The sequence below is a fragment of the Homo sapiens genome, chromosome 17 (genome assembly GCF_000001405.40).
Source record: "Homo sapiens chromosome 17, GRCh38.p14 Primary Assembly".
Lineage (NCBI taxonomy): Eukaryota > Metazoa > Chordata > Mammalia > Primates > Hominidae > Homo > Homo sapiens.
Genome location: NC_000017.11, coordinates 35,041,464 through 35,068,407, shown reverse-complemented (window position 1 = coordinate 35,068,407; position 26,944 = coordinate 35,041,464). Strand labels below are relative to the sequence as shown.

At 42.6% G+C, this 26,944-nt stretch overlaps 1 protein-coding gene, 1 long non-coding RNA gene and 1 other non-coding gene across 4 annotated transcripts in view, besides 7 other annotated features; all 3 read left to right on the top strand.

The window, feature by feature from the left end:
* RFFL (ring finger and FYVE like domain containing E3 ubiquitin protein ligase) overlaps nucleotides 1–26,944 on the top strand; it is an 83,237-nt gene that overhangs the window by 20,819 nt on the left and 35,474 nt on the right. The window contains exon 1 of one of the 2 annotated variants that reach the window (NM_001017368.2): nucleotides 4,701–4,832. The exons of the other annotated variant lie outside the window; for it this stretch is intronic. The gene's annotated coding sequence lies outside the window, so the exon portion shown is untranslated. Of the gene's footprint in view, nucleotides 1–4,700; nucleotides 4,833–26,944 lie in introns of those variants that run through there. 2 annotated transcript variants of the gene reach the window in all.
* Nucleotides 1–26,944, top strand: part of RAD51L3-RFFL (RAD51L3-RFFL readthrough) — a 112,411-nt gene that overhangs the window by 53,115 nt on the left and 32,352 nt on the right. The gene's annotated exons all lie outside the window — the stretch shown is intronic.
* Nucleotides 3,951–5,150: an enhancer, noted in NCBI's record as "CDK7 strongly-dependent group 2 enhancer chr17:33390277-33391476 (GRCh37/hg19 assembly coordinates)". NCBI's record gives its function as "activates an origin of replication core promoter dependent on BRD2, BRD4, P300/CBP, MED14 and CDK7 cofactors, with strong dependence on CDK7, by STARR-seq in HCT116 cells {active_cell/tissue: HCT116}" and the evidence as "EXISTENCE:reporter gene assay evidence [ECO:0000049][PMID:35650434]".
* Nucleotides 4,069–4,864: an enhancer, noted in NCBI's record as "OCT4-NANOG-H3K27ac hESC enhancer chr17:33390563-33391358 (GRCh37/hg19 assembly coordinates)". NCBI's record gives its function as "activates a minimal SCP1, AML or CMV promoter by ChIP-STARR-seq in naive and primed H9 embryonic stem cells {active_cell/tissue: H9 hESC(naive and primed)}" and the evidence as "EXISTENCE:reporter gene assay evidence [ECO:0000049][PMID:30033119]".
* Nucleotides 4,520–4,619: an enhancer, noted in NCBI's record as "active region_12055". NCBI's record gives its function as "activates an Ori minimal core promoter by ATAC-STARR-seq in GM12878 lymphoblastoid cells {active_cell/tissue: GM12878}" and the evidence as "EXISTENCE:reporter gene assay evidence [ECO:0000049][PMID:35858748]".
* Nucleotides 4,860–4,929: a silencer, noted in NCBI's record as "silent region_8433". NCBI's record gives its function as "represses an Ori minimal core promoter by ATAC-STARR-seq in GM12878 lymphoblastoid cells {active_cell/tissue: GM12878}" and the evidence as "EXISTENCE:reporter gene assay evidence [ECO:0000049][PMID:35858748]".
* Nucleotides 13,914–14,020, top strand: LOC124904123 (small nucleolar RNA U13). Its single transcript, XR_007066001.1, has one exon. It is a non-coding gene; the product is annotated as a small nucleolar RNA U13 (small nucleolar RNA).
* Nucleotides 21,355–21,484: an enhancer, noted in NCBI's record as "active region_12054". NCBI's record gives its function as "activates an Ori minimal core promoter by ATAC-STARR-seq in GM12878 lymphoblastoid cells {active_cell/tissue: GM12878}" and the evidence as "EXISTENCE:reporter gene assay evidence [ECO:0000049][PMID:35858748]".
* Nucleotides 21,625–21,724: an enhancer, noted in NCBI's record as "active region_12053". NCBI's record gives its function as "activates an Ori minimal core promoter by ATAC-STARR-seq in GM12878 lymphoblastoid cells {active_cell/tissue: GM12878}" and the evidence as "EXISTENCE:reporter gene assay evidence [ECO:0000049][PMID:35858748]".
* Nucleotides 21,785–21,834: an enhancer, noted in NCBI's record as "active region_12052". NCBI's record gives its function as "activates an Ori minimal core promoter by ATAC-STARR-seq in GM12878 lymphoblastoid cells {active_cell/tissue: GM12878}" and the evidence as "EXISTENCE:reporter gene assay evidence [ECO:0000049][PMID:35858748]".

Below are 26,944 nucleotides of genomic sequence, written 5' to 3'. Positions count from 1 at the left end.
GGCCCCAAGATGGAATGATCTCTGCCATGGCGACAGCCTCTATCTCCCAGGAGAGGCCATTTTATACAGCACATTTGTGCTTCCAAATGTTACTGTAAGCCTGCACTGGCTGATACTCTGGCGATAAGTTGACATTTGGGCACTCTCAAGACATATGAGCTATATAGCATCCCATGGTTTGAATTTCTGGGCAAAATTGGCTCATCAGGAAGTCAAAAGCCTCTACTTTCAACCTGTTCCTTTGGGTTTTCTCCTTTGTTTTATTTGACTATTCTGTTGAGTCAAATGAACTTTAATTTTTAGCCATAAAAATTCCATTAAGCCCCTTGTATCATATCCAGGTGTGAAAATGTCTCAGTATAACAAGACTGTGGGTGACAGGTGAAATCCTTAATGGTAGTTAGGATAATTGTCTCTGAAGGCTTGAAGAAAATAATGGTCCAACCAACAAAGTGAATACAGTTTGTATTTTTTGTGGTTCTTGTGGGTGAGCGGACTTATGTTTAGGACCTGCTCAGTGTGACTACTGTTCAGCTTGGAGGTCTTTGAAAAAACTTTTTTTCATTTTACTCTAAACAGTGCTTAGGGAACATAGCTGTGTCCTTTTTCTCAAAACATGATCCAAGGCCCATCTGTATCAGAATTGCTTGGAAGGCCGGGCGCAGTGGCTCACACCTATAATCCCAGCACTTTGGGAGGCTGAGACGGGCGGATCACTTGAGGCCAGGAGTTCAAGACCAGCCTGGCCAACATGGCGAAACTCCGTCTCTACTAAAAATACAAAAATTAGCCAGGCCTGGTGGTGCATAGTAATCCCACCTACTTGAGAGGCTGAGGCAGGAGAATCGCTTGAACCCGGAGGTGGAGGTTGCAGTGAGCCGAGAAATTGTGCCACTGCACTCCAACCTGGGCGACAGAGCGAGACTCTGTCTCAAAAAAAAAAAAAAAAAAGGCTTGGAAGAGAGAGATACTTATTAAAAATTCAGTTTTGGCCAGGCATGGTGACTCACGTCTGTAATTCTAGCACTTTGGGAGGCTGAGGCAGGTGGATCACCTGAGGTCAGGAGTTCGAGACCAGCCTGGCCAACATGGCAAAACTCTGTCTCTACTTAAAATACAAAAATTAGCCAGACATGGTGGCATACGCCTATAATCCTAGCTACTTGGGAGGCTGAGGAAGGAGAATTGCTTGAACCCAGGAGGTGGAGGTTGCAGTGAGCTGAGATTGCACCATTGCACTCCAGCCTGTGCGATGAGAGTGAGATTCCGTCTCAAAAAAAAAAAAAAAAAATTCAGTTTCTGGGGCCTCCCTCCATGTCTGCTAATTCAGAGTGTCTGAGGGACTGGGATGAGAAATGTTCATTTTCAATAAGCACCCCTGTTGATTCTTAAGTACCCCTAGAGTTAATTGTTGAGTATCATAAAGTTTACTTCATTTTTCATGTTTAATTTCTGTGATTTATTAGATGATAAATATTTGGTTGCCATCATATTGTTTTTCTTAAATACTATGTTCTATAGTTAAAAAAAAAAAAAGGCTGTGAGGTCACTGAACACCAAGATTAGAATTTGGCAATCATTAATTATCAACAAGGTGAGACAGGCACTGATTCCTGGAAATGTGCATTTATCCATTCACCGACTTCTCAGTTAGAAAAAGGATGTGGACACAAGTAAGATTAATTTTGTTAAAAACAAGAAATGTGCAGTATCATTTAGGATGCTGGGGGTAGGGAAGTAGATAAAAGGGAGATGTTGAGAGGAAAGAGTGTGAAGAGAGAGTAAAGCAGTTTGTAAGTGATACAAACTTTAAAATTTTAACTGAATTTTAAACTACCAAGTCATATTTGAATATATGCTTGTTGTAAAAAAATTCATGATTTTTGGGGGGTAATTTGGATAAAGCTAAACATAGCTATTTGATCTTTATTCCCATTACAGTGCTCTCCCTGCTGTGTGCATCCTCCCAGATCTTCTGTATGTATTTGGTAATTTTCTGTGGATTTGGAAGACTACAGAATCCTGAGAAATGGATATTTTAATTTCTCTTTTGAAACCTGCTTATTGTTTATAATGTCAAGATCTATTGCAGAAAAGAAAGTAAATCTGGGATGTCAATGACATCACATATGTCTGTTCAAATGAAACAATGGGCACATACACATATGCACACTCATTAAATATCTGTTGAGACCACCCTATTAAAAAAAGCATAAATAGTTTTGGGTGTTAAGTTACTTGAGTTTTAAAATAACGTATTTTCTGTTTTTGTTGTTTTTTGTTTTGAGATGGAGTCTCCTTCTGTCGCCTGGGCTGGATTGCAGTGGCGCAATCTCGGCTCTGCAACCTCTGTCTCCTGGGTTCAAGTGATTCTCCTGCCCCAGCCTCTAGAGTAGCTGGGGTTAGAGGTGTATGCCACCATGCCTGGCTAATTTTAAAATAATGTATTGAAAGAACTTAGTCAGAAAGCCACAGTTATTATTTCTCCCATAGCCTCATATTCTCATAATTTTCATGTAACCTCATAAATCCTCAAGTGCCTGAAACCACTAGTTCAAACGAGTACCTTTTTAAGCTCTAAAATGTAATCCTCAACCTTTCCACTTTAAAAGGAAGAACTAGGATGGAGTGTGGCTATAATTTGGGGCAGTTGGTTAAAACTGTATCAGAGTCCCAAAGAGGGGAATGATAAGCTGCAGCAGCTCTGTTCACTTGCTCAATGGTGTTTCTCTTAGTCAACTTAGGAGTTCCATGCCTTTGGCCTTCAGGCTGCTCTTTATATAGTTCGTATCTGTCTCCTGGGCATAGTACTGTCTGGATTTTCTCTTTCTTTTTTTTTTTTTTTTTTTGAGACGAAGTTTTGCTCTGTTGTTGCCCAGGCTGGAGTGCAATGGCACAATCTTGGCTGACTGCAACCTCTGCCTCCCGGGTTCAAGCGATTCTCCTGCCTCAGCCTCCCGAGTAGCTGGGATTACAGGCATGTGCCACCACACCTGGCTAATTTTGTATTTTTAGTAGAGATGGGGGTTTCTCCATGTTGGTTAGGCTAGTCTTGAACTCCCGACCTCAGGTGATCCGCCCACCTCGGCCTTCCAAAGTGCTGCAATTATAGGCGTGAACCGCTGTGCCCGGCCCTCTTATTTAAAGTTCGCAAATACAGAACAGGTCAGGAGCTTTTCTAATCATTTTTTTTTTTTCTGAAGGAGGTTCCATATTTGTCTGTACCTTGAGAGTTGTTTCATACTAGAATTTGTAACTTATCATCAACTACAGAAATTTTTTTTAAAGTGTGGTTGAAGAGATAATGGTTGTCAGCTGCTATAAAGATGTGTTTATCATTCAGAAAGGACTAATTAACATGTACTATAGGGAAACTTCTTTAAACAAAGCCATTTTCTGAAAGGAAAACACTGAAGGGGAGGAAATAAAACAGGGAACATTTTATAATACCTTATCAAAGCTCAGCGTGGCTATCCTACTGGAATAATGTAATTAAGGAGAATTAAGTGAGTTGGATAAATAACTTTTTAAAACTAGCCCCTTGAATAGAAAATTAAGTAGTATAGTTTTTAAACTCAAATTCTGTCTGCACGTACATTTTAATTAACCTAACATTATTGAATGACAAGCTGAGTTGGCAGCTACATCCAGAGTTCATGCCATGTGAGACCTACCTTAAAGGATGAACGAAGCTGGGTGCAGAGGCCTCAAATGCCCTGCTAAGAAATAGCTGATGGCCTTGGGGAACTGTCATACATTTTAAGCAGGAAACAGAAGGATCTAATAGGAACTTTAGTTTCTCTCTTGTCAAATTAAAGCACACAAAAAGCAAGGACTTGATCTTTTTTTTTTTTTTTTGTATAACACCAATGTCAATTCTAGCCTGTCAGGGCAAATTCAGTAATTAATAGCTGTTGATGAGCCAGTCATTCTAGATTGATTTTTTAAATAAGCAGGCTAATAAATGAGAATTGACATAAATTTAGGGATGTCTCTTTTCAGAGCAAGTGTTAAGGTGATTTTCATAGTCTTCTGTATTCCCTATGCATCCAGTAGGTGTGATGGTAAATGATTTGGCTTTAGCATAGAGAATGTGGCAGCTGATTAAAAAAAAAAAATTCCAGTGCATCTATCTTAATGAGAGAACTTGAGTTGTCTGAAGAAATAGAGAGGTCAGAGGAGGCCTAGTGGGAAAAAAGAACAATGAGCCTGGTTAGAACTGACAAAAATTCACCCTAATGATTTGACTGGCTAATGATGACTGGGCAAGTTCCCTGAGTCCACTGACCCAGATGTTCTAATTTGTAAATGCAAAGTGACTTATTTATCAGCCTCCTGGGGAAATCTTCAGAGCTGTGAACCTGCTATGTTCAGTAATCTTGCTGGCCCCAGCCCCAGCCTGTTCTCAGATGAAATTTTAGAAACTGGCCACTGGAACTTTTTGGGTAAGGGCTCTGGAGGTGGCCAAGTTACCAGTAGTGGGGGAATGAGGTTTACCTGCCCCCAGTAATCAGCACTTGATTTAAAACAATCAGTGAGCTGCCTCTTCTTTCCTAGGTTGCAGTTGACTGCGGTTGGTTCAGGCTGAGTTGTTTGGGAAGTACAAATTTTGCCCAGCGTGAGTCAGCACTGCCCTGGGTAAACTCCCTGCTGTGTTGCAATCTTGCTTACCAAAGATACATCCCCAGGCGGCACCATTCACTTCACATGAAAGCCGCTGCTCTTGGTTCCTGAGATGATCTCATCTGAACATGGCTCCAGCGACCTCAGCCACAGGAACTAGAGACAGCTTGCTTTCTGTCGTGGCAATGTTTTGAAACTGGCAAAATCAGGTAACCTCAAACTGTTTTCTTAAGTTTCATTAGCTAGATGAAGCTGCATTAGAAACTGGGAAAATCCTGTCTTCAGAAGTGAGTCAGGTTTTTTTTTTTTTTTTTTTTTTTTTTTTTTTTGAGACGGAGTTTCACTCTTGTTGCCCAAGCTGGAGTGCAATGGTGTGATCTCGGCTCACTGCAACCTTCACCTCCCGGGTTCAAGTGATTCTCCTGCCTCAGCCTCCCAAGTAGCTGGGATTATAGATGTGCGCCACCATGCCCGGCTAATTTTGTATTTTTAGTAGAGACAGGGTTTTGCTGTGTTGGTCAGTCTGGTTTCGAACTCCCAAGCTCAGGTGATCCACCCTCCTCAGCCTCCCAAAGTGCTGGAATTATAGGCATGAGCCACGGCCCCCGGCCAGAAGTTTTCTTTCATTTGAGTTCTGGATGTGGAGTTAGGTCCAATTAAATCACTGATTATATAAATCTTAGAAAAGTAAAACGTTAGGTTTACAGCTTTATCCGTCATTTGCTCTTGTATTTTGTTTTTTTGTGTGTATCTTGTGAGAAACACTTTAGTCAAACTAAGCCATTGTTAAAGGAAAAGAAGTGAAGGCATTTGGTTGCCTTCCTAATAACTAAATATTGAGTTGTGGAGAACACTGTCTTATCAGTGAGTTTGTTCCCATATTCCTTTCTGAATTAATAGGAAGAACCTCCCTCATCTCTAATTCTACTAGGCTACTACTCTATCTCCCTCCTGCTTTTCATCGCCAAACTTTTGAGTCCTTCACCTAATCAGACTATGATATCTCTAGGTAGTCGTCACCCTCCAAATTACGTTTCTGCTCCTTATAATTCCAACAAATTGCCCACGTTCTCTTTCACCTCAGACCTTAGCATATGTAAGCGTTCTTTTACACACCTTCCCCAAGCTTAATCTGGCCAACTGGTTTCAGCCTAGAAGTCACCTCTTCCATGAAGCCTCTTCTTACTTACCAGGGTTGAGTACTCAGGAGAACCTGGTATTTACTCCAATCATAGTATGTATTGAGAATCAGGGTCTGCTTTGCTAGAATTGTATCCATGGTACGTTGCACATAGTAGGTTCTCAGTAAGGGTAGAATGAGCAAGAGCCTGTACTGTACTTTCTCAACTCTGATCCTCTCATCAACTCTTTTTTTTTTCTTCTGAGAGGAATCTTGCTCTGTCACCCAGGCTGCAGTGCAGTGGTGTGATCTTAGCTCACTGCAACCTCTGCCTTCCTGGTTCAAGCGATTCTCCTGCCTTAGCCTCCTGAGTTGCTGGGACTACAGGTACGTGCCACCACGCCCAGCTAATTTTTGTATTTTTAGTAGAGACAGTGTTTCACCATGTTGGCGAGGATGGTCTCGATCTCTTGACCTCATGGTCCACCTGCCTTGGCCTCCCAAAGTGCTGGGTTTACAGGTGTGAGCCACCGCGCCCGGCCTTGTTCATTCTTTTTATGCTCACATCTTTAAATGTGCTAAACCCTGTTGATTTTGTTGGAGTACTGTTTGATGTGTGGCTTTTCTTCATTCCCACTGTCATTGCCTTAATTTACCAGAGGTCAAAACTGGACGTTTAAAGTCAGGCTGGGCACGGTGGCTCACGCCTGTAATCCCAGCACTTTGGGAGGCCGAGGTGGGCAGATCACCTGAGGTCAGGAGTTTGAGACCAGCCTGGCTAACATGGTGAAACCCCATCTCTACTAAAAACAAAAAATTAGCTGGGCGTGGTGGCACGTGCCTATAATCCCAGTTACTCAGGATGCTGAAGCAGGAGAATCACTTGAACCCAGGAGGTGGAGGTTGCAGTGAGCGAGGATCACACCACTGCACTCCAGCCTGAGCAACAGTGAGACTCCATATCAAAAAAAAAAAAGAGTTTGAGACCATCCTGGCCAACATGGTGAAACCCTGTCTGTATTTAAAAAAAAAAAAAAAGGCACGCCACGCATGGTGGCCAGTGCCTGTGGTACCAGCTACCCAGCAGGCTGAGAAAAGAGAATTGCTTGCACCCAGGAGGTGGAGGTTTCAATGAGCTGAGATTGTGCCACTGAACTCCAGCCTAGGCACAGAAGAAGACTCCATCCCAAAAATCAATCAGTCAGCCTAAGGGCTTAAAATTTTGTGTGTGAATACTTTTAGGCACCATCAGAGAGAAGGCCTGTACTCTTCAAAGATTACGGATACCACCATTTTCTGACATCTTACACACTGAAGACTTAGCATTTTACCTGCATTGCCTCTAGGAATTTGAGTTTGTAACTCCTAGTTCAGACCCTTATCAAATGGCCACTCCTCCATAAGTCTTTCCTTGCTCCTATCTTCTCCATATTGTTGCCCAAGTTATCTTTTTAAAGTCCACATCTAATCTTTTCATTTAAGGTGCCATTTGTTCCCTGTTTTCCACTTAGCTTGACTTCTAAAAGCTTTCACAGTTGGATTCTTTCCTACATGTTGCTGTTAACCATCTCATCTCCCTCTCCCCTGGCCATTTCTCTCCTCTCCAGCTTCACTGAACTTCTCATGTTAACATTCCATGGATATACCATGTCTTTTAGGACTCTGCCTTTTCCCAATGGACTCTCCCTTCTCTAACTGGCAAGATACTCATCCCTCAGGACACTTAGTTCATATATGCATCTTCTCTGACTTCTCTGTCTTTTCTGACAGACAGCACTGTCTGTCTCTTCCACTAGACTGTTGAGTTCTTTGACTGAACTTGGTGTCCCTGGACTAGAGCTTGGCACCATCAGAGAGAGTGGCTGACGTGGATCTCCGGGCTCAAACCGTTATTCTTTGCAATATTAGAAGCTTTTTTGTTAGATGGCATGGTTTTTCATTCCTATTTGATGAACATGAGCCCATGGCTGCTTATTTTGTATGTGTTACCTGCCACCATCAAGTAATCATTCAAAGTTAATTTGAAGATTTAAAGGGTTTGCTGAGATCTAGTCCCGCAATATCACGACATTTTTATGGTGTTTTACAAAATTATTTCCCTCATATGGTTTTATTTGCGTTGGGTAGGCTTTATTTATTATCCCTATTTTACCAGTGATTATAAAGCTAGTCTGATACCAAAGCATATATACATTTAGGTAAGACTCAGAGAGAAAACATGGTTCTTACACTGCATTAAGCAGCTGGTTTGTCTCTTAATATAGTAGTTAAATATACTCTATCAGGTTCCACAGAAATGGTGCCTTTGCTCGATAGGCAAGTGCTAACGGTCTTGCCTTTTACAAGGCCACTTTATCATCAAGGTAGGAGGAGGAGGTACTCTGAACCTGCCTGACCTATGGGAAGGCCCTGGTTGTGGTTAGAGACCTTGATTGAAATTAATGGTGTGCGTACTCCAACCTCTCAGGTTTTTCTTTTATACTTCAAATATCTGGAAGTTGTGAAAACCTGCTGCCCTGGTGGAGTATCAAACCAGGCTGGTGAGTGAAAGCGGTCATCCCAAAATGGAGTAAGCTGAGTGTTAAGGGCAGAAAACCTTTTACAGTTATAGTAAGTAATTAACTTTTTAGATCACTTCACAACTTTTGGAGTGCTAAAATGCCATATTTGGGACTATGAGAAATTCCATTATAAAAAGCTGAACCATTAGAGCTAGGAAATAATCTCTGTTAGATATTGGCATATGGTGTTCAATTTTGGGTCTCTCATACTTGAGAGGATAATTAAAATGATTAAAAGGTTGAAAAACAGGTCTTATCATTATAAGTTTTAAAAAGGGGGGAAAGATTTTAGCCTAGAGAAAGAAAAGCTAAGAGATAACTTCATTATCATCTTCAAATACAAGAATAGTTTTGCCAGGGGGATTTTTATTAATTATTCTTCATGAACTTCAAAGATTTAAGAGGAAATGGTCTTAAATTGAAGGAGGAGCAATTTTGATGAATACGAGAAAGAATTTTTTGATCATCAAAGTGGGGAAATGTTTGAATGACTGCCCAAGAGAGTGTTGAATTTCTGACTGTTTCAGTTGTCTATTGTGTGACAAATTACCCGAAGACTTTTGGTGGCATAACATGACAACCATTTTATTGCCTATGATTTTGTGGGTTAGTAATTCAGGAAAGGAGGACATATTTTTTTTTGTCCCATATGATGCTGATTGAGCTGGAGGATCCAAGAAGGCTGCACATGTCTGTACCTTTGGAGCTAGCTGTTGGCTGGGATATCTTGGTTCTCTGTGAGTTCTCTTTCTTGGTCTCTCATCACTTATAAACCTATATCGAGTGGCCGAGCGCAGTGGCTCATGCCTGTAATCTCAGCACTTTGGGAGGCCGAGGTGAGTGGATCACCTGAGGTCGGGAGTTCCAGACCAGCCTGACCAACATGGTGAAACCCCGTCTCTACTAAAAATACAAAAATTAGCTGGGTATGGTGGTGGGCACCTGTAATCCCACCTACTTGGGAGGCCGAGGCAGGAGAATTGCTTGAACATGGGAGGCGGAGGTTGCAGTGAGCCAAGATTGTGCCATTGCACTCCAACCTGGGTGACAGAGCGAGACCGTCTCAAAAAAAAAAAAAAAAAAAAATTCTAGCTCGAGCTTCTTTTACATGGTGGCTGGGCCATAATGGAAGCTGCAGGATCTCATAAGACCTAGGCCTGGCAGTCATACATCATCACTTTTGCCCCATTCTTTTTGTCAGAGTAAGTCACAATTATAGCCCAGATACAAGAGGAGGGGACATTGACTTCACCTCTAAAGGATAGAGGGTAAAAATCACATTGCAAAAGGGCATGCAATGTGATTGGGATTATTACTACCAACTTTATTTTTTGAAACAGAGTCTCGCTCTGTCACCCAGGCTGGAGTGCAGTGGCGCAATCTCGGCTCACTGCAACCTTTGCCTCCCGGGTTCAAGTGATTCTCTTGCCTCAGCCTCCTGAGTAGCTGGGATTACAGTTGCTTGCCACCACGCCTGGCTAATTTTTGTATTTTTAGTAGATACGGGGTTTCACCATGTTGGTCAGGCTGGTCTTGAACTCCTGACCTTATGATCTGCCCGCCTTGGCCTCCCAAAGTGCTGGGATTACAGGCGTGAGCCACCGCACCTGGCCTACCACCAATTTTAGATACAATTTACCACACTGACCTTAGAGATTTTTCATGAAAGAATAATCAATATATGTTTATTAAATGGGTAGTTTGGGCATATGATTTACAAATTTGGCTGCATATAGAGTCATCTGGGAGCTTTTTACAAGCATAAGCTCCTAGGTACCAGACCAGTGACTCAGTGTCTCCTGGGGGTGTTGTGTTGGCACATAAGAGACACTCTATGTCCTTTCTTTCAGGTAACTATCAGTAAAATGAGTATGGTGGGGGGGGATAGATAGATATAATATGTAAGGCAAGATGATATGTACATTGAGATAGATCTCATCTCTCCTGCTTCTAGGACTTGATTGAATCCTATCTAGCATGCTCTTCTTTCCAGTCTGCCTAGTGTAAATTATATTTCATTAAATCAGCCCATCATCAGAACAGTGTTTCTTGATGCCTCTCATTTTTTTCTCATGTTTTCTGGCATTTTTCCTTCATTACTTTTTTTTTAGTTCATAATTCAATATTTATATGATTGTTTGATGTATAATAGACAAAAATACATCTGCTTTGCTTTCGAGTATCTAACATAGTGTCTGCCTCATAAAAGGCACTCAGTAAGTACTTGTTGAATGAATAAGTGGTTGATTGAATGCATGATTGAATGAAGTGATATTTGAATTTAGCTTTAAAGGTGATTGGAATTTTGGACAGGTAGAGCAAATGAATGGGAAATTTATTGTTCTGAAGTGGAAACTGGATCATATTGCTCATGTAATTTCAGAAAACTGGAGAAACTGGTTTGGGAAAATGGAAGAGTTGGTTTTATATCTAGTATGCTAAGTTTGAGGTATGGAAATTTAGCAGGCATTTAGAAATGAAGCACTGATCTGAAGGGTGAGATTGATTCCAGATATTCACTTTTGGGAGTTACCTGACTGGAGAATGTGAAATCTGTTCCTTTCACAAATACCTGGTAAGCTCCTACTGTGTGCCAGACAGCTATGTTATAGGGAAGGTGAACTGCAGTCTGAGAAGGAGCCAGTCTTGTGAAAAGAGCTAGGGAGAATGTTTCAGCCAGAAAAGGAACCCAAGTTTGTAGGCCCTGGGGCAATAAATAATTTATAATTTTTGAGGAATTGAAGGAAGGTGACCGAAGGACAGAGCAAGGTGAGTGAAGTGGGAGAGCTGCATGAGGTAAAGTGGAAAAGGCAAGCAGAGCCCACATCACATGGGGACTTTGTGGGCTAGATAGTGAGTCTAGCCTTCACTCAAAAGTGTGGTGGGGCTGGGCATGGTGGCTCACACCTGTAATCCTAGCACTTTGGGAGGCTGAGGCAGGTGGATCACCTGAGGTCAGGAGTTTGAGACCAGCCTGGTCAACGTGGTGAAACCCCATCTCTACTAAAAATATAAAAAATTTTAGCCAGGCATGGTGGCTTATGCCTGTAATCCGTGCTACTCGGGAGGCTGAGGCAGGAGAATTGTTGGAACCCGGGAGGTGGATGTTGCAGTGAGCCGAGGTTGCACCACTGTACTCCAGCCTGGGTAACAAAAGTGAAAACTCTGTCTCAAAAAAAAAGAAAAAGAAAAAAAAAAAGGGTGGTGGGACACCATTGAAGGCTTAAAACAGAAAGTGACAAGCAAAGATTCTTTTTCTAAATAAAAGGTTACCCTGGCTACTCTGTAGAGAATAGAGAGTCACAAAGAAGGGACCAGTAAGGAAGTGTTTGTCTCCCTTCTTGAGAAGGATCATCGCAGATAGGGCAGGATATGGCAGTGGACATAGAACGGGATAGTTGCAGGATGCATTTAAAAAGTAGAACCAGGCTGGGCATGGTGGCTCACGCCTGTAATCCCAGCACTTTGGGAGGCTGAAGTGGGCAGATCACCTGAGGTCAGGAGTTTGAGACCAGCCTGACCAACATGGAGAAATCCCGTCTCTACTAAAAATACAAAATTAGCCGGGCGTGGTGGTGCATGCCTGTAATCCCAGCTACTCAGAAGGCTGAGGCAGGAGAATCATTTGAACCCAGGAGGCGGAGGTTGTGGTGAGCCGAGATCATGCCACTGCATTCCAGCCTGGGCAACAGAGCAAAACTTTGTCTCAAAAAAAAAAAAAAAAAAAAGTAGAAGTAAAATTCACTAGAGAAGGAAAGGAAGAAGGAAGAGTATGGAGTACAGAACCCTAGGGCCTATGTAGGGGGCAAAAGAAGGAACCAGGGAAGGAAAATAAGGGAGCAAGAGTGGTCATTGATGTCAAAGGTAAGTCAGGCTACCACGCTTGCAGTGGGAGCCAGTGTGGGAGAAGGAGTCTGTAAGGGGAATTCAAGTGTATCCAGAGTAAGTGTGCTGTCTGATGTGTGGCAAGTCAATACCCAAGACCTGGGGGCGGGGTTTATTTGTTGGGCTGCAGAATGAGGAGATGAGAGGGAACTGCAAATCCGTCCTCCTGAGGAGTTTGGAGCTAGGGTTTTTAAGGATTTTGGAGTGGGCTGGAATGTGGAGATTGTTGGGTGGTCAGAGAGAGAAAGGTGAAGTAATGGGACCCGGAGATGAAAAAACTGTATTATGCTGATTTTATTTCTCTCTGAGGGTCTTCAAACTGGTTGGCATCAGCTGTTTTACCAGAATTTGGGATCTGAAAAATATCTCAAGCAATTCTTAAAAAAAAAGCCTTATGCTTCTAATGTCAGAGATACTATCTTTAGAAACAATAGGGATGCAAATGGTCAGTATCTAGCGCTGTGTGACTTTCAGTTACAAGGAAATGTGTCAAAATCCAGCCTGATTAATGTTTTTTTTTTGTTTGTTTGTTTGTTTGTTTTTTTTTGAGATGGAGTTTTGCTCTTGTGGCCCAGGCTGGAGTGCAATGGCATGATCTCGGCTCACTGCAACCTCTGCCTCCTGGGTTCAAGTGATTCTCCTGCCTCAGCCTCCTGAGTAGCTAGACTACAGGTGTGTGCCACCACACCTGGCTAATTTTGTATTTTTAGTAGAGATGGGTTTTCACCGTTTTGGCCAGGCTGGTCTCAAACTCCTGACCTCAGGTGATCCGCCCACCTTGGCCTCCCAAAGTGCTGGGATTACAGGTGAGCCATCGCACCTGGCCTAATGCTTAATTAAAGTTATATTTCTGTCCATAGTTCTTGGTAACCCTCTGAAGACAGCTTCATAATGAAGAATTTGGGTAGGTTTTGGGTGCATGGGGCTTCAGGGAGTCATGAAGGTTGAGGACATAGGAAAGAATCACACATTTATCCATCAGAAGATCATTGGTGACCATTGGCCGGGCGCTGTGGCTCACGCCTGTAATCCCAGCACTTTGGGAGGCCGAGGCAAGTGGATCACGAGGTCAGGAGATCGAGACCATCTTGGCTAACACGGTGAAACCCCGTGTCTACTAAAAATACAAAAAAATTGGCCAGGCGTGCTGGTGGGCACCCGTAGTCCCAGCTACTCAGGAGGCTGAGGCAGGAGAATGGCGTGAACCCGGGAGGTGGAGCTTGCAGTGAGCCAAAATCGCGCCACTGCACTCCAGCCTGGGCAACAAAGCAAGACTCAATCTCAAAAAAAAAAAAAAAGCTGTTGGATCGGTGTTTACTAAGCACCTACTCTAAGCCTGTCACTGTGTTAGTGTTAAGGATTTGTGTGAATGACCTCTTTTAGGTACTTCATTTTACAGATGAGAAAAATGACGCTTAGGGAATTAATCACCTTAACAGGTCACACAGAAAGAAGACTATGAGTTCTGTCTGACCCAGGCCCCATGCTCCTAAACCTTGCATGACACTGCTCTTTGGAAAGCCCTATCAGGACATCAGCTAGAGAGGAATGAAAGGTTTTTAGAGCCCAGTGATGGCTTACCCCAGCTGTATGAATTTGTTAGCAACCCAGTTAAATAAAGTCTTCTGATTTTTCTATAGTAATCTGGCAGTTTAGGAATGGAGAGGTGGGGGAGGGAGGGGAAGATAAAAGATAGAGTAAGAGTTCAGTAAATTAGAAAGGGGATTATTTTGTTGTTCATAAGTGTAATGATTGGATTTTCATGCACATGTATGAGATGTGCCTCCATCAAGCCTTGTTACTACAAAGTCAGTGCATTACCCATCTGATGTGGGAAAAATAAATCAGAAAGAGGCCTCAGCTTGTGGGAATGGTGGAATGCAATGGCTTGTGTTGTTAAGCAAAATTGTGTTTTACAGTAAATATTTATTGTGGTTCTTTTGATGCAAGTTATATTGGGATATGGAGGAAAATGCAAAAATGGATAAGATGGTGTATTTGACCTCTACACGGTTAGAGAGGAAGGTAAAGTGCTTCACTATAGTGCTTGATTGAAGGGTATGACAGGGGTGGAAGGTGGAGAAGTATGGGAAAGTATTATACAAGTTAGCTTGTAGAGCGAGGGTGGCATTAGGTAGGGCTGGCCAGGGTGGTGCCAATCTAGCTTCTCAGGATGACCCCTCAGGATTTTGGTCACTGTGTCGTCAGTCTAGTCTTGGGTCACAAAATGTATTTTGTGGAGAACCTGGAAATAATTAGTCTTGAAGACAGGATTGTATTCAGACTTGAGTGATTGAGCTCAGAATGGAATGCCAATTTATTATTTTAGAATGAAGGATTCCTTTTCCGTTAACGGGATTCTGGAATTTGTTAGGATAATTGCTTTTCAATATCAAGAGATCTGGCAATCAAATTTAATAATATCAAGCTTGCTTGGTGAGCATGGATTTATAAGATAGAATGGTTTGTGGGGGAGAATATAGTTACAAAAAAGATTATTGTTTCCCATAATGCCTGGTATTGTATTAAGTACTTTGCATACAGTAGGGCATTTCATTGTCCCAGTGATCCTCCTGCAAAGTAGGTACAATTATCTTCAATTTACAAATGAGGAAACCAAGCTCTCTTCAAGCTGATAAGATGCTGAACTGAGATTTGAACCAAGTCCCTCTGCCCCTAAGAGCCCCTACCCCTAGCTGCTACTATATGCTGTACCCATCTAAGCTTTGTGAAATAACCTTGTTCCACTGCAGAGAAGATGTTGTGTCACCTATCTCTAGTATTTCTTGGCTTTGGGCAGTTCTGGAGTCAAAATGCCCCTCCCTGTTTTTTCTAGATTTTTCCAGATTTCTTTGTTAACCAGTCTTAGATGTGGTCACATTCTTTGTTTAAATACCCGTGTATTAATATAGTCATCCAAGCCTTTTTGTCCTCTTCTTGCTTTTGGTTTGGAAGATACTCTGTCTCTTTGGAGGAACTTTACATATCTGTGCACATTGATTTTGTGTTGATTTTATTATCTTAATTTTATGGGTTAAGTTTTTGAGTTTCTTCCAGCTCCTAGTCCATCAACTCCTTCCTGTCCCCTTCCTCTTCCACTAGACTTAAATTCAGATACTAATGCCAATTTCTGAATACTCAGTCTGGCTCCAGTCCACCTATCCAATTTAGACATGGCTCTCTGGATCACTAGCTATTGCCAGTTACTCACTGCTCCTGTATGATCTTGATTTCCTACTTGAGTACCCTTGTTTCTGTTGTGCTTTTGGCTTGGAATGTCATTCTTCCCATGAAGGCTCCCTAGTCTGATCCCTCACTGGGAGTAATCACTTCTTCCTGAGTCTCATAGCAGAGAATTCTCTTTTATGTCTCCTTTGTGGCACATTACACTTTCTGCCATCTATTATAGTTGTTTGTGTACCTACCTATCTCCTACTAGACCATGGCCTCACTGAGCAGATCTGTCTGGTTGACCTTTGTCTTTCTCCTAGTATCTAGTTCAGTTCCCTGCACATAGTGGGCATTCAATATCTATTGGATGAATGAATGAATAACTGAACAGAATTTCAGGTTTTTAAGTTTCTACTCATTGTTTATTATAGATTCCCTCCCTTTTTTGCTTTTCTTCTTCCTTTCACATTTCCTTTTCTTTCTTTTCTATTAACCTGTGTTTTCCCTTGCACTGACTCACTGAACTTCTCTTTACCACCCCCTTTTTTTTACCCAGATTTTGCCTCATTCTCTCCTCATTAGCAGTCACTATGTGGGTGTGCCACATGCTGCTGGTCAGATTTTCTCCATCCTTTTGTGGCTTGAGTTCCCCCATGAATCAGATGAGCAGCATAGGAATTGACTGGTGATTACATTAACATCTTAATAAAAGACCATGTATAAAGAACAGTACTTAAAATTTGTCAGTATATTGCTTTCAAGAGGGAAATTTTCCAATGCATGTTTCAAGTGAAAGGGAAAGGGAAAAAAAATCTTCCGGTACTGGGGAGGTAGATCAGGGCATTTTATTCACAGTGTGGGATGTGGGATGTCAAAGGCATCTTATTTGACCAAAGAAATAATGCAGGAAACCACAGAAACTTCTGCTAACCGTTAATATTGAATCCTCAAATTTTTCTACAGCTGGAGAAAACATTAGAGATGAATGTAGTTCAACCTTCCTGTTTTCCAGATGAGAAAACAGACCCAAAGAGGCTAAATGACTTGTCCATTAAGCTGGGGTATTTGTTGCCCAGTGTTTACTTCTAGAACTGAATGTGGCCTGGGAAACCACCAAATCTTTGAAAGTAGTGGAAAGTTACACTTGAAGTGGAGGCTTTAGGTGTCTAAAATTGAAGGCTTTTGCAATGCTGAAAAGTAGACTTTGTCCAGTTGGTAGCAGGTTGGATTTGAGGCAGTGTTCACGAAAGGGCTGTTTAACTGTCTCAGTCACTCCCTTCTGGGAATCTGTTCCTTCTGCATTTGAAAAGGGGCCAGCGTTTAATTATTAAAACATTTTCAATTTTTCTTGCTCTTTTTCCCAGCCCTCATATTCGAAGTTTTGTTTCAGGCTTTATTTCCTTATCTCAGCACTATTTGTGTTAAGTTTTTATTGCTTAAGTCAGATGTCAGTACGAAGCATGGGAAATCCAGAAAGTGTCTTAGACACTCATGATTGGTTTTTGGTGCTTGTTAGGTGAATCTTTTACCTGACTCATATAATAATGTACTTTATTGTCACTGAAATACTGTCTAGTGAACCAGTTGGCAGCAGATATGAAAGGTTACCTACTTGTTGAAGGTCTAGGGTACAGCGGTGGAAAGAGATCAGATAGCCCAAAACAGGAAGTCAAGTGCAAACAGGATGTGTTTGTCTGCTGTAACTCGTGTGCCTGTGTTTTGAAACTTGGTGCTGTTAAAAAGTCAAGACTTCTAGTATTTGAGCTTGGCTGAAGAAGTCTCCATTTTGGGTTTGAAAAGAAGCTAACATAACTAGTCCTTTACAGCCCTTGCCTTTACCCATATGCATGTCTTTCTTGTAGGGACCATTCTTTCTTCCTGGGCATGGTTGTTTATCCTAGTTTATACTGTACTGCATCCATATGGTTTATAAAATGAAGCCACTGAATTGACTGTTGATGTTACTTTTGGTAGATATGGGATTCAGTCTGTGTTTGGCTATTTTTTTAAATAACAATGGGAAATTTTAGCCTATAATTCACAATCCTTTTATTTTTTATTTATTTTTTATTGTTTTGAGACAATTTCACTCATGTTGCCCAGGCTGGAGTGCAATGGCACGATCTTGGCTCACCACAACCTCCGCCTCCCAGGTTCAAGCGATTCTCCTGCCTCAACCTCCAGAGTAGTTGGGATTATAGGCATGTGCCATCACACCTGGCAAATTCTGTATTTTTAGTAGAGACAGGGTTTCTACATGTTGGTCAGGCTGGTCTCAACCTCCTGACCTCAGGTGATCTGCCCGCCTCGGCCTTCCAAAGTGCTGGCATGTGCCATTGTGCCTGGCCTCCATCCTTTTATTTTAATTAATTTTTTTTTTTTTTTTGTAGAGCCTGGGGAGTGGCTCATGCCTGTAATCCCAACAGTTTGGGAAGCTGAGGCGGGAGGATCGCTTGAGCCCAGGAGTTTGAGACCAACCTAGGCAATATAGTGAGACCTCCGTTTCTACAAAAATAAAAATAGCTGAGTATGGTGGCATGTGCATGTAGTCCCAACTATTCAGGAGGTTGAAGTGGGTGGATCACCTGAGCCCAGGAGGTCAAGGCAGCAATGAGCCAAGAGTGCATCACTACAGTCCAGCCTTGACACCAGAGTGAGGTCTTGCTATGTTGCCCAGGCTGCGAGCTGGTCTCAAACTCCTGGCCTCAAGTGATTCTCCTCTCTTGGCCTCTCACAGTACTGGGATTACAGGTGTGAGTTACCACACCTGGCCACCACCTTCTATTTTTTAATTTTTATTTTTTGAGACTGGGTCTCCCTCTCACCCAGGCTGGAGTGCAGTGGTGCAATCACAGTTCACTGCAGCCTTGATCTCCCAGGCTCAAGTGATCCTCCCACCTCAGCCACCCAGTAGCTGGCATTACAGGTGTGAGCCACTACAACAGGCCCATTTTTTTTTTTTTTTTGAGATGGAGTCTTACTCTGTCACCTAGGCTGGAGTGCAATGGCGTGATCTCAGCTCTCTGCAACCTCTGCCTCCATGGCTCAAGCAATTCTCCTGCCTCAGCCTCCTGAGTAGCTGAGATTACAGGTGCCCACCACCATGCCTGGCTAATTTTTGTATTTTTAGTAGAGACAGGGTTTCGCCATGTTGGCCAGGCTGGTCTCAAACTCCTGACCTCAGGTGATCAGTCCACCTCGGCCTCCCAAAGTGCTGGGATTACAGGCGTGAGCTACCACACCTGGCCCATTCTTTTAAATAACAGTCTGCTTTTGTTGGTTTCCAGAATTTTTAGCCTATCTTTTGAGTGTTTTCTGAGTGTGGTGGTTTACAAATAACTACCGGGTGTTTGTGAACTTTTTTTAGTCTTTGAATTCAAACTCTCTTTGAGTACTGGAGGCTGCATCTAATGCTAGCTGCTGAATTGCTTCACCCCTTGGCAAGTCTCTGGAGAAGAGATTAAGTAAGTAATTTGCTTGGGGTCACTCAGCTGATAAACAATCTCAGCAGCCCCTATTTTCTGAACCCACCTCCCATTTCCCATTGCTTCCTACTGTGAAATCTGCTCTATTGCATTCATTAGAGGACTGGATTGGTTATAGGATAACCATCTGCTCGAGTCATCTCAGGATCTTTGTAGATTATCACAACCACTTGAACCAGGTCCATTCTGCTGGTCTCATACTATAATATGGGACAGGTAAAGGTTTTGATAATGTGTTTGTGTGTGTGTGTGTGTGTGCATTCTGTACCCTTACCATATTGCAGAGAAAATCATCTGTCCTTCCACTTTGTAATTCCAGGAGCAAAAGGGTAAAGTAGCAGCATATCTCAGTGTGGATGGTCTAGTGACTGTGTGTGAAAGCAGTGAGAACAACATGCCTTTCTGCTATCAGCACAGGTGTCTTTTTTCTTGACTCTTATCAAAGGGTGGGAATATGAGGCATTTTGCATTTTGTTGTGGGATATAGGCAAATAGTAAAACCTTGAAGATAGGCTGAACACAGGTGTTCTTGGCAAGGAGAGAATATGGTGAAAATACAAAGGTTTTTGTGACACCAAGAGAACTAGAAATCACCATTCATTTCTGCTGCTTGGCGTAGATACTGGGTAGATCACATCCTCCTGGCAGGAGCAGAAAACATTTCAGAAAGTCAGCATAATTTTCAGATTGAGATCAAACATCAAACCAAGCTAAAGGTCTGTGGGAGGAAGGGGGTGCTTAGTCTGAATTCATCCTGGATTTATCACCAAATCCTATCTGACTTCAGTGCAGTGCAAGCAATTACAGTGCATCAGGTGGAGGCCGGAGGCATACGTTCATTCTTTGAATTTGGCAGAGAAGGGTTGAGGAGCTAAGGGAGAAATTCTAAACTGGCTGGACTGCAGGGTTGTGGGGAGTAACAAACTCATTAGCAATGGGGTGGAATTGGGAAGAGATTTAACAGCCTGGGGCTGCAAGGAGGATAAACCACTCTGACCACCTCTGAGAAGTTTTTCAAGGGATTATATAATTAAGAACTGGTGGAAGAACTGTAGTCATTTAATTCTTAGAGGAGTGGTTCAAAAACTAAACTGAACCTGATTAGAGGTATTGGCATACCTAAATTTTTATTTTTTTAATTAATTAATTAATTAATTTTTTGAGATGGAGTCTCGCTCTGTCGCCCAGGCTGGAGTGCAGTGGCGTGATCTCGGCTCACTGCAAGCTCCGCCTCCTTGGTTCACACCGTTCTCCTGTCTCAACCTCCCAAGCAGCTGGGACTACAGGTGCACACCGCCACTCCCGGCTAATTTTTTGTATTTTTAGTAGAGACGGGGTTTCACCGTGTTAGCCAGGATGGTCTTGATCTCCTGACCTCACGATCCGCCCACCTCGGCCTCCCAAAGTTCTGGGATTACAGGCATGAGCCACCGTGCCCGGCCCCTAAATTTTTAAAAAGCAGATAGATAGAGGAATAGAACTGATAAACGTCTTTTTAAAGAACCTTAATGGGCTGAGTGCAGTGGTTCACGCCTATAATCCCAGCACTGTGGAAGGCCAAGGTGAATGGATTGCTTGAGGTCAGGAGTTCGAGACCAGCCTGGCCAACGTGGTGAAACCCCGTCTCTACTAAAAATACAAAAATTAGCCGGGCATGGTGGTGGGCACCTGTAATCCCAGCTACTTGGGAGGCTGAGGTATGAGAATCGCTTGAGCCTGGGAGGCAGAGGCTGCAGTGAGCCAAGATCACGCCACTGCATTCCAGCCTGGGTGACAGAGGGAGACTCTGTATTTAAAAAAAAAAAAAAAAAGCTGGGCATGGTGGCTTGCGCTTGTAGTCCCAGCTAATCAGAAGGCTGAGGTTGGAGGATCACTTGAGCCCAGGAGGCAGAAGTTGCAGTGAGTGAGACCATGCCACTGCACTCCAGTCTGGGCAACAGAGGGAGACCCTGTCTGAAAACTAAGTAAAATAAAAAAGTTAAGAACCTTAATGGGCCTTTCTGTGTTAAAACAACAACAACAACAACAAAAACAACCTTAACAAAGTACTTTCTTTAAATTATTTACAGCCAATTTCTGTTGAACATCCATTATTTGCTGGGCTCTGGGTTAAATGCTTTGACATGCGTTATTTTAATCCTTTCAATTATCTTTTCAATGTAGCAGGTTTTAATTAAAGGAGTTAAATAACACCAGAATTCATTCTATACCATGGTACATTTGGCTGCAGTAATTTTCGTGCAGTCCACTTTGGAAAGGTAAATTGCATAATTTTGAGCCTAGATAGAATTCCTGTCTGGAAATGCCTTCTTTTCCCGGTGCATTGGAGTGCCAGAAACCCCTTCACCTAGTCCCTGCCTTCATTTAAAAAAAAATCCTGGTTACCCATTAGTCAGTCATTGTGATAATATCTTGTGAAAGCAGCTTCTTCAGTAGAAGGTCCAGAAGAGCTTATCTGGTAAATCCTCTTTCCTGCACCAGAGTAGTAGGGGGATCAGAGTCTCTTTATTCTTGATGAGCTTTGTCATCAGTTTCGATGGAAGAAGGATCCTGCTGTAATTAAACTGCAGGTCCATTTATTCTGTTTTCAGCGTTGTTAGAAGACTTTACTCTGAATTGCTTTGTTTCCTGATTGACTCACCCTTTGGGGCAGAATGCCTGGGTTGAAATGAAAGCGTAGGTTTCTCTGCTGCGGTGTTCAATCTGTCATCTCTCCTAAACTCCACACTAAGAAGCAGCCATTTAATTGGTCAGACCCCAGGGGTGATATTTTGGCACAGCTCCATTGGTTAGAATTACTTTTCCCTGAACTTCATAGCAGATGCTGAGGTCCCTCTGCAGATATTTGTCATAGAATAGTTGAAACCAGGGAGTTTCTGAGAACATTTATAACTTGTGATTATTATGTATGTCTTTCAGTTGTTAACAGTTACCGCTTAAGAAAAAGAGCTCACTTATTGCTAGTGGGAAGTGAAATCTCTCTCCTTTCCCCCTTATTCATATTATTATTTTAACAGTTTATGCTCCAAGACCCTCTGCTCTCTGGTTCCTGTATCATTTTGTTATGTTTCTCCTTCCACCTTGCTTGGGCTGTGCAAGTCGGGAAGAACAGGCAAAGGTACACCCAGACCTGGGTGTGTCTGGTAGAGGTCGGTTTCTTTGATTTCTAGCATGTCTTTATTTTACATCTGCATTTGTTGTTTTCATGTTTATTTGTATTTGCAGTTCCCATTGCAGCACCATTCCAATCCAAAACAACAGTGAAGGCATTGAAGCCTTCTGTGTCTTTTTAGGAAGAGATGGAAGTGACCGTCTTGTTCCTCTTCCAGGCTCTCCTTTTCTGGTTTTGTCCTTCTGTAATAACAATTTAAACCATTTTTCTTTTCTTTTGTTTTTCAAGTAATCTTAGCAGACAAAGAAATTCTCTTCAGTCTTTCGTTCAAGGTATTGCTGTGGTTATGTGTGTTTAAAATCCTTAATTTACTGATCATCCCGGAATCATAATTGTGCAGTTTCTGTCCTTTTTTTTTTTTTTTTTGAGACAGAGTCTCACTCTGTCAGCCAGGGTGGAGTGCAGTGTGCAATCTTGGCTCACCGCAACCTCCGCCTCCCAGGTTCAAGCGATACTCCTGCCTCAGCCTCCCGAGTAGCTGGGACTATGGGCATATACACCACCACGCCCAGCTAATTTTTTTATTTGTAGTACAGATGGGGTTTTGCCATGTTGGCCAGGCTGGTCTCAAACTCCTGACCTCAGGTGATCCGCCGGCTTCAGCCTCCCAAAGTGCTGCGATTACAGGCGTGAGCCACTGTGCCTCGCCAATTGTGCAATTTTAAGCATGAATTTCTGTCCTTTTTTTTTAAAAAGCGCTCTATTGCTGTTATCATTAGTTAATAATTCAACAAATATGTGTTGATTACCTGGCATTAAGGCTGAGAATAAAGCTGTGAAATAGACCTACTCTTGTTTCCTGTTTCACTTTCCACACCCTAAATATGGAAGAAAAATACTTTAAAAAGAATTATATAGGCCGGGCATGGTGGCTCATGCCTGTAATCCTAGAACTTTGGGAGGCTGAGGCGGGCAAATCACTTGAGGTCAGGAGTTCAAGACCAGCCTGGCCAACATAGTAAAACCCCATCTCTACTAAAAATACAAAAAATTAGCCAGGCATGGTGGCACGTGCCTGTAATCCCAGCTACTCAGGAGGCTGAAGCATGAGAATTGCTTGAACCTGGGAGGTGGAGGTTGCAGTGATCTGAGATCATGCTACTGCACTCTAGCCTGGACGACAGAGTGAGACTCTGTCTCAAAAAAAGAAAAAAAAAAGAATTATACAAACTGTTAGCCAGTTGATTAGATACAGTACTGCTAGAATGCTCTTTCCCCCAGAATGTAATCATTATGAGATTCAAGGACCTTGCCTGTTGTTGTTCCTCTTACGTTCTCCAGAGGTACAGGAGATTCATGCTAAATAGTCTGATAAATCAATTATGGTTATAAGGAAGTGTATAAGATTCTATGAGGCCAGGCATGGTGGCTCACACCTGTAATTCCAATCCTTTGGGAAGTTGAGGTGGGAGGATCACTTGAGCCTGGGAGATCGAGGCTGCAGTGAGCTGTGATCGCACCACTGTACTCCAGCCTGGGTGACAGAGTGAGACCCTGTCTCAAAAAAAAAAAAATGTTATGAGAGCACAGACAGGATCAGGAAAGGTTTCCCTGAGGAAATAAATGATATGTAAGGGAGGTGAGGTGGCAACAGTGCTCCAGGCTGAGAGAATAGCTGAATAGCTTGAGGGAGGGAGATTCCTAAAGCCAAAATAACCTTGGTGTTTGAAGAACTGAAAGAATAGGATAGAGTAAGGAGTAAGGCCCTGAGCACTAAGGATTTGCTTTCATTATTATTTACTAGTTACCCAGTGACAACACTTACTTTATTTTTTTTGAGATGGAGTCTCGCTCTGTCTCCCAGGCTGGACTGCAGTGGTGCAGTGTCGAGTCACTGCAACCTCCACCTCCCAGATAAGCGATTCTCCTGCCTCAGCCTCCGTGCAGCTGGGATTACAGGCACCTGTCACCATGCCTGGCTAATTTTTGTATTTTTAGTAGAGACAAGGTTTCACTGGGATTACAGGCGTGAGCCTGCCGCGCCTGGCTGACAACACTTATTAAAAGGAGGGTAGACCAGGTGCGCTGGCTCATTGCCTGTAATCCCAGCACTTTGGGAGGCCCAGGTAGGATTGCTTGAGGCTAGGAGTTCAAAGACCAGTCTGGGTAACATAGACCCTGTCTCTACAAAAAAAATAAAAATAAAAAATTAGCTGGGCAAGGTGGTGGGTATTTGCAGTTCTAGCTACTCAGGATGCTGAGGTGGGACGATCGCTCAAGGCTACAGTTTGCTATGATGGTGCCAATGCACTCCAGGCTGGGTGACAGAGACTTGTCTCAATAAATGAATCAATGAAATAGAGCATTAGTTGCAGTTGAGACAATTAAGTCAGAAAAATCTCAACTGGAGCAAAAGTAAGAAGAGAAACTGAAATACACCTTAAATATCAGTTAAAGGCTTTATCTTTAGAAGGTTGGGGGTCTGTATCACTGGTACCCTGAACTTGTAGAAACTAGAAATGCAGATGACTTATGGGATGTATAAATTAAAGTTCTGTAGTCCCAGGAATGGTTTTTCTATGTATTATACTTTTTACAAGGTGCTTAAGGTACTTTTTATTGAATCCTACAAAAATCAGACCATTTTAATTCTGATTTTTGTAGGATTATTGTGTTAAATAAGACAACAGATGCAAACATAACAACTAACTTGGCACATTTTAGGTGTTTTGTAATGTTTTTACTTTGTAATCTTCTGAGAAAGGACTTCAGGAACCCCAAGTTCTGAATAACTCCCCCAATTTTCCCCGTGTCTGCCATCTGAAATAATAGCACAGAAGATTATGTCATGTCTAAAGTTTTGATCCTTTACATTAAAGTATAACTTGGGGACTGGAGGAGAGAAGAGGCTCTAGTCCTTGTGTCTTTGATGTTACTGACATCTCTGTGTGAAAGGAGGCTCTGGAAGCTGGTTTGGAGAGAGGCAAACATTTAATCCTCATGAGCCCATGCCTTATTATAATGACGGCTATTTACTGAATGTCTAACACTGCCCTCTGCTCTTGATGTAAGATTGAAAAGTCCAGTGAAGTTATGATCCCCCTTTATACTGAGCACCACCTCTATGTCCAGCCTGTGAGGTGTAGGGAATGTATTCCTGTTACTCTGAAGCTCCTAGTGGCAGCTTACTCAAGCTCATTCATTTATTCAGTGTTAGAGCCAGGATTTAAGGTCAGGTCTGACTGATTTTAAAGCCAAAGTAAAACATACTTGGGAACAGCTTTTTTTCCCCCCACCTTTCTCTCCAACTGTTCTGTCTTCTTAAACTTTAGACCTAAAATAAAATTCTTACCTAGGAAATATGCATTTATCTGTTACCCATATCCAAAGGACTGCCTTGGAGGATAGAAAATGTCTATTAGTATTAAAAGCTTTGGAAATGTTTTCCTCCCCTGAGTTCTGGCCTGTGAAATATTCCTTGTTTATGTCCAGCCCATGCACCACTTCAGCAGGGCTCTTTATCCTAATTCAGGCCTTGGATTCTAAAGTTCTACCATATACATGTCTTCTCTATGACTTAGGTATTCTGAATTCTTTTTTCTTTTCTTTTTTTTTTTTTTTTTTTTTGAGATGGAGTCTCATTCTGTCGCCAGGCTGGAGTGCAGTGATGTGATCTCAGCTCACTGCAACCTCTGCCTCCTGGGTTCAAGCAATTATCCTGCCTTAGCCTCCTGAGTAGCTGGGACTACAGGTGCATGCCACTACGCCCAGCTAATTTTTTGTATTTTTAGCAGAGATGGGGTTTCACCATGTTGGCTGGGCTGGTCTCGAACTCCTGGGCGCTCAGGTGATCCGCCTGCCTTGGCCTCCCAAAGTGCTGGGATTACAGGTGTGAGCCACTGCGCCCGGCCACCGAATTATTTATTCTAAAATAAATATCTCAGAAATAGTATCACAGAGAACATGCTTCATTGTCCCACCCCCAGCATATGAGACCAGTTAGTAGTATGGTTTACTCAGCAGGCTGCTTACTTACAAATGCAACAGTTGTCCTATTTTATGCTCATTGTGTTGTCACCAGCATTTTAAATCTTTACAAGTCAGGGTGGGTACCTCAGGCAGGTTTGCTGGAAAATTCCAGTAAACAGTTTCAAAGGAGTTCAAGTTGCTTGCCAGACTAACTTACTTTTAAAAGTAAGCAGCCTTCCAAGTTAAGAGATGATTTTAAATTTCAGGTGAGTTCTCAGGACATTGTGATTTTTTAATTATGCTGTTGGTATAAATCAGCTGTGTCAGGGCCTGTCCCACCAAGAGCGTTGGGTGGTAAGAAACCCAAGCTTTGGGTGACCAGAGAGAGGAGAGAGACCTTGGGCTTTCCAGCCAGTAATGCCTATGAAACATGTAGGTCATTGGCATTTTATTTTATTTATTTTTTTGAGATGGAGTCTCGCTCTGTGGCCCAGGCTGGAGTGCAGTGGTGTGATCTTGGCTCACTGCAACCTCTGCCTCCCGGGTTCAAGCGATACTTCTCCCTTAGCCTCCTGAGTAGCTGGGACTACAGGCATGTGCCACCACACCACTAATTTTTGTGTTTTTAGTAGAGACGGGGTTTCACCATGTTGTCTAGGCTGGTCTTGAACTCCTGACCTCAACTGATCCGCCTGCCTTGGCCTCCCAGAGTGCTGGGATTGTAGGAGTGAGCCACCATGCCCAGCCATCATTTTAGAATTATAATTTTTAGCTGGATGCGGTAAAAAAAATCCTTTCTCAGCCTTCAGGTCTCATCTCAAGTATCACCGACATGAGGAGTCCTCCCCCATTTACACACACCAGCTCGGTGTGAAGAACCGAAAGGTCACACTACCTTTCGGTTCTTCACACACCAGCCCACTATGGCTTGAAGTTAACGAGTGAGAAAAGTAGCACGGCATGAATTGGAGAAGTGGTCAGGGTCTTTAACCATGTAAGAAGTGATTATTTTTATTCT